This window comes from Homo sapiens, chromosome 2 (assembly GCF_000001405.40).
Source record: "Homo sapiens chromosome 2, GRCh38.p14 Primary Assembly".
Taxonomy (NCBI): domain Eukaryota; kingdom Metazoa; phylum Chordata; class Mammalia; order Primates; family Hominidae; genus Homo; species Homo sapiens.
The window spans coordinates 167,741,308-167,755,463 of record NC_000002.12 but is presented as its reverse complement, the minus strand read 5'-3'; the positions used below and the strand labels follow the sequence as shown (position 1 = coordinate 167,755,463).

General features: G+C 36.6%; 1 protein-coding gene across 5 annotated transcripts in view; it reads right to left on the bottom strand.

Annotated features, from left to right (window-relative positions):
- Positions 1-14,156, bottom strand: part of B3GALT1 (beta-1,3-galactosyltransferase 1) — a 581,045-nt gene that overhangs the window by 118,582 nt on the left and 448,307 nt on the right. For 2 of the 5 annotated variants that reach the window (XM_047446160.1, XM_006712819.4), the window contains exon 1: positions 5,802-5,969. The exons of the other annotated variants lie outside the window; for them this stretch is intronic. The gene's annotated coding sequence lies outside the window, so the exon portion shown is untranslated. Of the gene's footprint in view, positions 1-5,801; positions 5,970-14,156 lie in introns of those variants that run through there. 5 annotated transcript variants of the gene reach the window in all.

The window sequence follows — 14,156 nt, the reverse complement described above, 5'->3', positions numbered from 1 at the left end:
AGCATAGAATTCTCGGGAAGAAATGGAAGGGCAAGTTTGGAGGGAGAAGAGTATAGGAGGCCCTGGGACGCAACACTAGGAGGGTGAACAATGCAACATCAACCAATCGTGTTCTAGTCAACATTCTGCCCAGGGTCCTCCTTGAATCCAGGAAAGAAAAAGTTCTTTCTCTCCTCCTCTCCTTCAGTGCTTCATCAGGGCATCGTACTTCTAGCATTCATCTGGGTATTTTAATCCGTATCCTACTTTAGCTATGTTATGGATTAAAAAGCCTTCTGTGGGCTGGCCTCAGTAGTTAACCACTGCATGTAAAATGGTTTCCAGAGGAAACTATGCTTCGAATTTTGAATTGTAAACCAACCTGTGGGACAGAATCTGTTTGAAACTGGGGGCTACCTGTGCATGGCTCTAGGCTGCACCATCACCCCGCCCCCTACAACATACTCATTAGACACTGCTCAAGAATGAAAACACGTATCAAAAGAGAAGGCTTGAATGCATGGCTCGGCTCTGCACACAAAGCCAAAACATCTGGATAAACTGTTGACTAAGTATGCTAGCCAGATGTTTTAAAATAATTGGTAGGGCAGACAACACATTTGTGTGATTGACATTTTTATTTTTTATTTTATTTTGTTTTTTGGTGTTGAGTAGCCTTGGTCTTTGTAACTGCAGGGTTGCTTACTAAAACCTGTCTTTATTTCTGAGAAGCAGAGAGTGTTGAACTCAGTGGGTGCTTCTAGACTTGGGGATTAGTGCTGGGTTCTCTTGTAAGATGTGGACTTGATGTGGAAAGGTAGCAAGGTGAGTGGCCTGGCTATATATATTCTTTTGTATCTTTTTCCTCTCTTTTGGTACTCTAAACCAGAGGCTTGATCTCTGTTGATTTTAGCTATTTTAAGCCTCTTAACTTCCCTTCCTCTTTCTGTGAAATCTGATTCAAAAGTAGGATGCACTCTATTGCAGGTTGTATCTAACTATAATCAAGGGTGACCAGCATAGAAATACATGGGGTATTTCGTGGAAAGGCAGATTGCTAGGCCCTCCTCTAACTACTGAATCAAAACCTCTAGAGGATACGGTAGTGGGAAATGGTCTTTTAAATAAACTCCCCAGGTGAGTCTAACTGCAGACTTAAGAGAACTGCTGCATTATAGCCTCATTCTGAGTCATGAAAACTTTCACTTTTCAATTTTATTAACCTGTAGAATCTAGAAATCAAGTAACATAGGAAAATTTGTAAGTCGAAGTACTAGGGTGCTTCTGAAAATGTAATGTAAGCAAGTTAAGAACTTGATAACAATTCATCACAGATACTTGCCCTGGAATCTATTCTTAAGCATATCAGGCATTTTTCTGTCTGAAATCTGATTTTCATAGAAGATCAATAAGGGAATATTTACATTGCCAATACGGTAACCATTTATTATTTGATTTTTACAAAATCCTTGCCTCTAAGCAACTGGCATTTGAAACAAATCAGACCTTCATCAGCCATAATAACAGTTCATTGTCTTTGTTCTGAGGTATGCATTTTATTTCCATTATCCCTATTGAATAAAGCAGGCATAAAACTAGCAAAGCCCAGTTTATCACAGTGCAAATTGAGTGGAGAGGCTAAGTGAATGAATCTGGTGGGTTTCCCTCAGATTAGCAACCAGAAGAGTTTAGCTTCTCTCAGAACCCCCACACTGGGCTGTGGTGAAGCAGTGTGAATGAAAGGTCTGCAATGTAGAACAGTAACATGAGAAATCATTGGCAAGCAAATTTTGTGCAATTAAAACAATGAGAAAAGTGGGTTGTCTGGAATCAAGACAAACCATTTGGTGAGTCCATGAATTTTTCCACATGTTCACGGGCAGGGAGGAGGAGGAATGAGGTGGCTGTGGGGACAGAATCTCCCCAGGATGCCTTCTCAGTGGAGACACAAGAGCTCCCAGAAATGAAAAAAGCTTCACAAGGGCTTTTTAGATGTCTGAATTCTCTCTGCATGGAAAGTGGGAGGATCACCAAATGGCTTAAGGACCAGGAACCTCAGAGCCTGACCATGGTTTCACTCCTCAGCAGGTTGTGTGCTTGGGTTTCACCTGCTGGTCAGGGACTCTCCCAACCTGGCATGGCTTTAGTCCCATGGCTAGCGCAGATTGACGGGCCTGTCTCTTGCTCACAGTTTCCGCTAAGGGGCATGGCTCTGGGTATTGCTCTAATCTGGACAAGTGTGAGAGGGCTTTGCTGTTTACCTTAGTTTTAATTTTCCTATGTTTTTCTTTATTTAAAATGAGTACTGCTCATAATCCTAAATTTCAAACTCAGGTGTATGATTGCATTTGGGCTCTCAGTTTCCATGGCAATGGCCCCTCTCTCCAGTGCAATGCTCTGAATGCAGTAGGACCTTCATTAACACTGGTGGGCTGCCCCATTCATGGTTATTTCCCAGAATCACTGTGGACCTACAGGCAGATGTTCTATCATGTCTCCTCTCCACATTCCACTATTCACATGCAGAGTTATCCTTGTTCCTGAAGGAACCAAGCACAATGAGTGCTGCATGCACTCAGCTGTTGCATCTCTCCTGGCTCACTCAGGAGACAGTTCAGTCAGGTTTATCTCAAATTCACTTCCTCTGCCTCTGTCAGTTCAACCGCAGCTCCCCAAATGCCCTTGCCAAAGAGTGATGTGACTAAAGGTGACAGTCCTACAGTTTTCAACAATTGTGAGTTGCTGAGTTGAGACTTTTTGTTTTTTCCTTTTCGGAGCTTTGTTCACCTAGGAGATGTTAATTTCTAAGAATCCGAGTGCACTTTTCCTCTCAGACAAATCTTATCTAGAGAAGCCACTAACTGTGACATTAAAGCGGGGAAGGGGGGTGTGGGGGGAGAGGGGCGGGGGGGAGGATGCTATTATTCTGCACTGATGGAAAGGTCTGCAGTTTATTTAAAAAAAAAAACAAATAGAGTACCTCTTTTTGGAAAGTTTACAATAAATCTACATAAATGGTATGCAACATCACGTAGGTCTCCTCATGGCTACAAAAGCAATATGCTTTACATTTACACGGCCTTTATAAAATTACTATTAAGTATTCTCCTTTACTTTCATTTGTAAGTACACTGCAATTCCTGACTTCTTGTCATAAATTGTAACAATGTTTTATGAGTGTTTAAATATACATATAAGGTTAAAAGTATTGTTCTTTTTATTTTTAAAAAATAGTCTACATCACTCTAACTCATCTTAACCGGAAGTGTCTACTGTGCATAATAGCTATTGTGCTGCTCTTTGTTTCCACTTTTCACCTTGAAAATGCTGCAATTTCCAAGTTAAATTCTCACTGCATCCCATAAAATCTTTTTACAATGTAAAAGTTCTTTATGTGTCAAAAAAAAAAGGTAGACAATACTACTTTCAGTAGCTAAGACTCTCCTGGAACAATGCAGTGTTATGCATAGTGTCTGATTTTCCTGTGGAGGTATAAATGAGACTTTATAAAGAAAAAGTTCATTTCTGGCTCTCATAGTGTTTGCCATATATGAGCAAAATGCCTACAGTAGTAATGTGGTCAGCCCCTACTTGGTTCCTAGGTCTTGAAGATCTCCTTTCCTAGACTGCAGCAGTATCTGCTGACATCTACTCATCGTTTGATCAGAAACTCGGGCACACACTCCAGAGGTGCCTTAACTAAATCTTGCAGTACCCCAGGAATTGTCTGAGAAAAACTTGGATGACTAAATGAGCTGTGAAATAACACAAGTTTCATTTTTCTGAATGTCTCACCCACCACTCCCTCACCTCCACTGACCCAGCACACATACCTTCTATCAGTCCAAAGTGGTGCCTGGTGGGCAGCCCAATATCTCTGCTGGGACTGACTGTTTTCTGAACTGACTATGAGGCTAGGGTCCAATTATCCTCATAACTCCTAATTCCTTAAGCCCCTGGATGAAGTCTTATTTAGAATGGACATATTGGCAAAAAATTCTCTGTTCTGAAATTCTCCCACAGACAGACTATTTCCTCCACTCCATTCCACATTATTAATACCTGGGAAAACATGCCAGGGCAGATTGTCTGGTGCCTCTGTCCAATCTCATCTGGTCCTCTTCTGCCTTTTACTCAAGTACTTGTTGCCTAGGGTCTTCTAAGCCTTGGAGCAAGGGTTTGCTGGTATTATGACACATTTTAAATAACTTCTCAGTATCCAAAGGAGCCACAACACTTTCTCTGTATTATGTGTCAGGAAAATTTGTATTGTCACTATTTCTTTAGTAATGTGCCAAAATATAATCCACAGAGGAGTGATATCTTACACCAGGGGTCAGCAAACCATGATGCACAAGCCAAATCTAGCTTGCTATTTTTGTAAATAAAGTTTTATTTGAACTCAGCCAAGCTCATTCATTTATATGTTGTTTACGCCTGTTTTCTTGCAGCAACAGCAGAGTTGAGTAGCTGTGACAGAGACTGTATGGCTCACAAAGCCAAAAATATTTACCATCTGGCCCTTTATAGAAAAAGGCTGCCTACTTCCATGTTACATTCACCCATTACTTCATCTCACTGCTTGGATCCTAAATAGATTCCTGCCCGTGGCATAGGATTCTGGGACTTTGAGTGAGAGGAACAGATGGGCAGGAAGACTTGATATGTAGGTACCAGAGAAGGGATATGACACTCTAAAGATCCCTGAGTGTTACCTGCGAGGGGCTTAGTTTTTTTTTTTTTTTTTTTTGCTCAACAGTCCTTTAAGGTATGTGTCCTTAAGGTTAACTTGCTACATAATATCTGTCTATGAAAAGGTTGTGAACCGTGAACCAAAGGACTTTCATGATTAGTCATATGACACCTGAGGGGACAGTACCAGGTACCCAGGTACCAACCTGGTTGAACTCCAAATTATTTTCACCAAAAAGGATGAAACCCATTTTCAAATTAGTGATATCTGACTCAAGACATTAATGTATGTGAAAGAAATAAACACAAAACTTGGCTTTTCTAGGCTCAAAGACTTCTAGAAGAAACGACTTAAAAAATGCCACTAAGAGAGGAGCAAGCTTGAGATAAATTGTTAATAATTATTGTTGTCCAGTGGGGATTCAGAAATACCAATCCCACTCCTTCGTGAGTGTTTTCCTTACGGTCTATTTACTCTGGCCACACCCTGCTGCTAGACAAATTTCACTTTATTGGATTGGAAATACAATTAGCATAGATTTTTTTCCCATTAAGTAAAATATTATAAAGCCATGCTTATAAATATCTACATCACTCAGGCTTGCAAATAGACAAGACAAAAACTTTTCTTAGCCTTATTTGCTAAATTGAACCTGATAGCAAAATTTCTAATGTAAATCAAATGATGGATGTGCTGACAGTTAATGTCACAAAGTAGTCATTCTACAAGAATACATACATAACTACTAAAATTTAAAATGGCCAAAGGAAGGGGTTTTACACACTCTCATGCCAAATTTTCTTATTTTTTTCTTTGCACTGATTAAAATAAAGGAGTCATCACTGCCAAAGGGCAGAGCTCTTACATTGCTTTTATCAAATGCAAATAGGTGTAAATACAAACTGTAAAACAGAAGAGAAAGATCATGACTCAGCGTCTGACAGCAAAGCTTATTAAACATAATCAAAGACTCAGAATGAACTCATGTTGCCTTTCAACACATTGCTAGAGAATTCTTTTTGCTATAAAACTAGCATTAAATGTCACAATCTTGAAACTGCTGTTGGAGAAACTTAGTTTAAGGCATTTAAAACAACTTCAAGACTCCAAGTGGAGAGGATTTACTTACCATAGGATAAATCATACTGCATTTAATCTGGACATGGCACCCCTCAAACTGTAGTCAATAATTGATTAAAAGTTGATCCCTCAGGGCATTAGCGTCTGAAATTTTAGGATACTTATTGGTGATTAAAATATATAGTTATTGGATGAACGAAGCCTCACATATGTTAACAACAAAATCAATGTTTGTTGTCTCTTATGAAATACAAGGACAATGATTTATTTCTCAGGAAGTCAGTTGGAACATGGGGTAAGGTACATGGGTCTATATTGAGAGGTGAAAATCCTGCCCGTGGCATAGGATTCTGGGACTTTGAGTGAAAGAAACAGATGGGCAGGAAGATCGGACACATAGGTACCAGAGAACGGATATGACACTGCAAAAGTTCCCTGAGTGTTACCTGGAAAGAGCTTAGTTATTTTTTTTGCTCAATAGTCCTTTAAGGCATGTGTCCTTAAGGTTAACTTGTTACACAATATCTGTCTATGAAAAGGTTGTGAAGCAAAGGACTTTCATGATTAATCATATGACATGTGTGGGATGCTTAGTCATGACTATTTAAAAGTTGAAGCTAGTTCTAAGGCCAACCCTTGGCCAGCCTCACAAAAATACATGCATCTTAGCTATGCCTGGCTTGTCTGTTTTTTATTTATAGGTGTCTTTGGACTCTACATTCTGGAGTACCAACTACTTCTACTTGAATCTCTGTGCACACTCAGCATGGAGCCTGGAACATAGTAGTTGCTTAATAAATGTGTGTGGCATGAATGACTGGAAGAATGATTCTCATCACTTATTATTGAGCAGTGTGAGAACACAAGGACAGAGATGCTGATTTGTCCAAGGAAGACTGGCTTGTCTGGCAATATCCACTCAGTCTGTGGCCTTTCTCCCACAGACTCCTTAAAAGCAAGTCTCAAACACTAAAATTCATTGTTCAATGTGACTAACAGAATTCTTCAGTTAGGCATTATACTTTGACTTCAATACCTGCCTCTGGCTTCTTCTAATTTGTGGTCCATTAAGTTTTGCCTGACATTCCGAGTCATGCACTTCCACATAGTTGCCCACTTTGAACCTTCCTTTTGCCTTGGTGCCTTCTGATACCTCAGCTCAAAAGTCCCTACAGGACTGTGAGATCTCTCAACCCCCAACCCTACTTTACCATGACAAGGAGAGATCCTGACCTGAAAAGAATAATCTCAGGAAAAGCTTCAAGAGATATTTTAATTTCCATTTTCTCCCTTGAAGACTTAATGAATCTGTGGAAATTTCTAGTGAAATGGGGAACAGAAATTCTTTTCATCAATGATGAATCCCAGGATTTGCAAGTTATCGCTCATCTCGGTGGATAACTGATGGCTTGCCTTAGGTGATCTGCATGAAAGTAACTGTCACCCCCAACTGCCAATCTTTATAGCAATGGCTGAATAAGTTATTTATAATGATGGCATCAAGCATTGTTTAACACTCCCCACATATCACATTGTGCTTCATCTGTGCTTTCCAGAGAGCTCGTATCATAGTCTAACTTGCATTATAGTTATTGTTTTATTTTCTTCTTGCAGCTTTGTAGTAGCTACTTGGAAACAGCTTTTTTGTATTTCTTATTCTTTGTATTCCCCAGAATGCTGGCAGTAAACTTTGTACAAATATGGATACTAGAAATGCTTACTAAATGTAAGAAGAGGAAAAGGGAGCATATGCAGACATATCTAATTAAAATTTGGTGAAATAAATACTTAACCATTGGCCTGAAATGAGACTTTTGACCAGTTCTGCTCAGTTTTAATAGTCATGATCAGAATTACACATTTGTTTTGAAATTTTGCAAATGCAATAAACAACCTCTAGCCCATTCTGACGCCTTCATACTTTTGATCATCTACAAGTTAATTTCTGTAGGTACTTCCCATTCTCCATGACTATTGTGTATATAGTGATCCCAGATGAAATTCCGCAGGAAACTATGTTCCCTGGGCTAGCTAGACTCACACGGTATTCATGTGGATGTTTGCTTTCTTCACTTAAACATAAAATCACACTTAGGACCAAGGTTGGGCAAAACTGTGAATTAGATGAGTTTCTCTTGAGCCTCTTTAACCTCTAGTTGTTTTTCCTCTCCCTCTTCTCTGTCTACAATGGCCTTCTACTGCTCTCTGGATGTTTAGTGACCTCATCTAGTTCTGAATCTCTTTCAAGCTGTATCTGTCTAATTTTTCTTAAAAATTGCTGTCAGCCTAATTCTGCTGGAATGATTCCAATACATGAATTAGTTGTATGATGTTAATGAATGATAGCAGCTTAGGCATTTTCTGGCCCTGAGGGATTTGCATTTTGATAAGGGGCAATGCCCTAATCCAAAGGAATAAATTGTGATTGGTAGAATTTTAAGTCTTCAAAGGTGGCATCAAGGGTCAGACAGCCTTCCAACCCCAACATCTTGGCTGCCTGCTCTAAGAGTACCGGAGACTCTCCTTCCCACAATGCTCTCCCCCTTTATCACCATGAATAATCAAGTCATTTTACATATAAGCCCCAAACACTGACAGTGGCAAAAGCTGAACTCATTATAAAAGGGAAAAATGTCGACACAATGCTTTAAATCATCGGAATTTAGTGGGTTGGAGGTACGATATGGGGAAGGGGAAGAAAGAAAAGCAGAAAGGGAGCGAAAAAGGGCAGCAACATAGGGCACAAAAGAATTATCTCTTTAATCTGAATGTTATCACAATATATTATTAGATACATAGAATGCATGCACTTTCAACACCTCTGTGAGATCAAATTATATGTACTAACCCAATTTTTCTATAAAATGAAAAAACAGATTGATTCACAATCTGTGGGAAAGGCAGACTGCAAAGACATAGCAAACTTAAGGGCTATTACACATAATATGTTGAGCTTTAAAAACACATTTCATAATGGCAGCTCTGTATTTTTAATTAGTGTATAACATGGAATACTAATTTTTACAAACAAGTGCCTCAGAGCTATTTACCAGATATTATTAATTGAAGTGTATGACCAATTTGTCATTGCTAAGAAGAGTGGGACAGCGGCTCCATTGTCACATATTTCTGAAGCAAGTCAATAAAATAAATTTGTTCAACAGCAAAAGAATTCAGCTGTATTTGTTGAACTTATGACTTTTTTAGAAAACAACAAATCACATGCTCACACAACATGATGCTGATCTTTGGTTAGGTCATGCATGCCCTGTCACAGATGTGAGAAAAAAGGCTTGAGAGGGCTTGGAAGATGATTCTATGTCAAACAAATCAATGCAGTAAGATTGCAAATGCATGTTACTGCATTAACTTTCAAGTCTCTTAACTAAACTTTGAAACTTAATAAAGATCTCATTTTATTTGTCTTTTAAAAAGAAAAAATAATGTCCTCATATAAGACTTGGAAGGGCACTTAAATTTCTTTTAAGTGAACAAATCAGTTGCACAGCATGAATTTTATAGATATTTCACAACCAACAGAACAATAATAATAACAGTTTTAATGTAAGTTATCTAATAGAGGAATTAATTTGTCTCCTTTACCTTTGAAATGACTTTACCACTTTCTAAATCATCCCTTACTTCTCCTTTTCTAACCACAACAATTCATCTGACTCAGGAGATTAGACAAAGGTGAAGACTTAGATCTGATACCATTATGTAGACATAAGAAAATGAGAATTATTAGAGAGAGTTAAGAGATATGAAGAATAATATGAGGATATTAATCATAAATATACAATTCAAGTGCCAGTAAGACAGACTAGAGATAACAGAGGAGATATGATATTTAAGTTCAATAATTAATTGAAAAATTTCCAGAACTGATGAAAAACATGCATCCACAGATAGATAATGGAACCACACTATACGTCAGTAGAATAAATTTTCAGAATTCTACAGCTACACATATCCAGTAAAACTGCAGAACACCAAGATAAATAGATGGTTTTCAACATAACAGAGAGAAAAAAACCGAACAGCTAAAAAGGATGAAAATATGATAGTAAGATTCTCAACAACAAGGGAATCATAAGCCAATAGAATATCTTCAAATTGCTGAGAAAAAAATAGTTTTAAACATAAATATCAAAGCCATCTTTTAAGAATGAGGATAAAATAGAGGCATTTACATTAAAAATAAGCAAACAACAAAATGGAGTTTCTAATAGGCAATCACTATGGAAATACTGAAGTTATATACTTCATAGAAGGAAAATGATCTCAAAAGAATAGTATGAAAGGCAAGAAGCAACAGTGAGAAGAAACTGTTTAATAAACAAATCATAATAAACAGTGTCTACATAGATAACCATAATCGTGTCTAGTTTAGGGAATTAAAACAAATAGAGAATAATGTAAATGTTAGGAGAGGGGGTGAGCAACAATCTACATTACATGTTTCAAGGTTTTGTATGGTTTTAGAATAGAATTAATATATTGAGGAATATCAGACTTTATTAAATATGCATATTAAAACTTCTAGGGCAACCACCAAATTCATAAAGATAACTTCCACACCAGTTGATAGAAAACAATGGAATAAGACAAAAAATAGTTTTCATTAATTCAAAATGTAAAGGGACAAAAAGAGAAAAAAAAAGAGGCAGAGAAATTATAAAGCAAAATTACACAAATAAGTCCAAGTATATTAGCAATTAAAATAAATGTAAATGATCTTAAATTGCCAATAAAAAAATCAGAGATTATTTGATTGAATATAAAAACAAAACAAGACATTTACTGTGTATAAATGGTATGTCTGGCCGGGTGTGGTGGTTCACGCCTGTAATCCCAGCACTTTGGGAGGCCGAGGCAGGCGGATCACGAGGTCAGGAGTTCAAGACCAGCCTCACCAACATGGAGAAACCCTGTTCTACTAAAAATACAAAATTAGCCGGGCGTGGTGGTCAGTGCCTGTAATCCCAGCCACCTGGGAGGCTGATGCAGGAGAATCGCTTGAACTCGGGAGGTGGAGGTTGCAGTGAGCCGTGATCATGCCACTGCACTCCAGCCTGGGCAACAAGAGTGTAACTCTGTCTCAGAAAAAAAAAAGAAAAAGAGATAGGCCTATAAGAAAACAGAAAATTAAAAATAAAAGGATAGACAAGGTTTAACAGGTAAATATTAACCAAGGAAAAGCTGAGGAATAAAAAGTATTCTTAAAGACAAAAAGCCTTTGAGAATAGGAATGGACACTACAAACTAATAAAAAGGTTTAATTCATGAGAGATCTATAATAATAGTTGCAAACTTACATTAATCTAATAAAATAACATGAAAATATATTTTAAAATTGCTAGCACTACAAATAGAAATCTCTTATTATAATGAAAGATTCCAAATACAACCCTTTCAATTAATAGATGAAGCAGATAAAAATGATGAATATATGAAAGATTTGATCAATACCATTAACCAGCTTGATTTATTGACTCCTGCACACAACTAGTGATATTGCATTCTTATCAAGAAACATGAGGCATTTAAAAAATTATTCACATAGTAAGCCATTGGTACTCATAGGCCATTTTCTCTGACTGCAATTCAAATAAATTAGAAGTTAATAATTAAAGGATTAATTTAAAAATCCCCCCATAATTGGAAATTAGGCACACATATAGTGTTGAATAACTCATAAATCAAAACCTTTTTAGTGGAAATTAAAAATATTTCAGCTGAACAATAATGTTATATTGAAATAATACTCAATAAAATTTTGCAGTCTTAAATGTTTGTAGCTAAGCCATCAAATTAGGAAGTTAGAAAAACAGAAGAAGTCCCACTAAAGCAGAATAACAGAGGTAATAAAGATGAGTTTTTCAAAAAAACCACTGGAATAAGAAACAGATTAAAATAGATGGTCAACACAGCCAAAGTTGTTTCTTTGTAAAAACTGTTTAAATAGATAAGATGGTGCCCAGATTGATTAACAGAAAAAGAGAGAAGACACAAATAGAAAATACTTGGGATATAAATGAGAACATAAACTACCAATATATCAGAGATTTAGACAAAATAAAGAGAAACATATTATTACCAAAACCGATTTAAAATATAGAAAAGTGAAATAGTTCTATAACTACAAAAACATTTCAATGGAAAAATGGGCAAAAGATAAAAACAGACATATCTTACAAGAAAAGAAATAATAGCACACAAATATATTTTTAAAATTTCATTAGTAATTGGAGATATAGAAATTAATACTACAATGATAAATATTCTATTGTTTTCTTATTTAGCAAAAAGACAAGAAGTCTGACTATACAAAATACTGCTGTTCTTGAGGCTCAATGCTGATGGGGGTTTAAATTGGTTTAACCTCTTTAGAAAAAAATTGGTTACTATTTTGTAAAATAGAACCTTTATAAACTTAACTCCCAGCAATTCTTCTCCTAGGTACATACTCGAGAAACTTTTGTTCATGCATGCCAGGATATATTGCTTGTTATAACAAAAAAGGAAAAAATCTATTAGTAGGAGTTTGGGTAAATAAATGTGATATATTCACATTGGCATGTTAGACATTGAAAAAAATGAGTGAACTATAGCTACAGTAACAATTATATATGGATGCTCCTTAAAAATAATATTCATAGAAAAAGTACATCATGAAGGCTATATGTAGTATGATATGGTTTTTATGAAGTGTAAAACCAAGGAAAACCAAGCAATATGCATATTGTTTATGATATACATGTGACACATTTTTTTCTTTATAAATAGCAAATAAATGATAAAACAAAATTCATTATAGTAGGTTACTTTGAGCAGGAAGTAAAGAGCAGATTAGAGGAGAACCAGAAGAAAGGCACAATGGTATTAGAATTATTTTAGTTCTTTAAGTTGGGCAACAATTTCATGGATACTAATCATATTATTCATGACATATTTGAAATAGATTTCTGAATGTTCAAATACTATATAATAAAAATCTGAAAAACAGAATTACATCATTTCTGTGCTCATACTTAAAAAAAATGGGTTCTTATTATTTAACAAATAAGGTCCTAAGTGGTTAGCATGAAGTTCTAGATGCAACTTCTTTCTGCTACGTAGTCATCTTTCTGCTGTGATAGAACAGATTTCTTTACCCCACCATATGCCGCTACACACCCATATTTTGGACTTGCTTTTTTACTGTCTTTACTGAATACACATTTTTTATGCTCTTGTGTTTTTTTCTTAAACTGTTTCCTAAGCTTTCAATGCCTTCCCTTTCTTAAAGATTTTCTACACAAATATTTCTCATCTCTCAGGAACCAGATATGCTCTTTTGCCCAGTGAGGACTGACTTCACCAGCTTCAGAACTCCCACTACACATTACCTGTCCCTACACTGCAGTGTACTCTGCATCCATCAGGCAGGAAACAGCCAAGCAAACAATAATGGTGAAGCAACTGTCTCTCATACTACAATGGATAAAGACTACACTTAAAGCAATCTTAAAGCAAGTATTTCATCAAAAACCGAGAGTGAAAAACACTGATATAGTAAAGTGACCTTCCGGTAAGGACTCCTCAATTACACCTGGAAAGGTAGATGCACAGAAGAGCATCAGTAAATTAAATTACTTTAGTAGAAACTTCTAGAGTCATTTGGAGTCGTTAGAGTCTGTTATGCACACCTGACTGAGAGGTGTCATCAGTTTCTCAGTAAGGGCAAATTGAAAGTTCATATCAACTCCCACTTTACAGTATTAATACCTTGTGGTATATTATATTCCTTATCCTCTTATGTATCTTCATATACTCTCAGTAAGTTATGAAGTTGCCTTCACATAGCACTGAATTATATACTCTCTGTTGCCAACATTATAAAATCTAGATAGCTCAACTCCATTATTGTAGTCAAGATTTTGGTTCCCAGTATGATCAAAGAACAGCATACTTTAGGGAGTTTATTTCTCCCTAAAGGTGAACTTCAAGGTCAAAGATGTTTAGTGTGATTTATAGATAGTTATTTAACAACCATTGTGGTTACAAGGGCTGGGGACCTGAAGGGAGTGGCATGGTCCACCCTGGCAGGGAGGAGTATTTTTATCACTGGCATTGTTTAGAATTGGCATGCATGGTGATAATAAAAAGTATGCAAATTTCAAATCTCTATTATTATTATATTCTAAATAATTTGGAAACAATGCACCCCCTTATCTCCTACACCTGTGATGGACCACTCTGGCTATATCCACCCCACCTTGGTATTTTCTTGTTGGCTTTTCCTACCAGACTGTAACTTCTCTGAGGGCATGGAAGATGTTTTAACTATCTTTGTATACCAAAGTTTAGCACTTAGTAGATGTTTTTTGAAGAAAGGAATTTCATTTGTTAGAATGTGCTC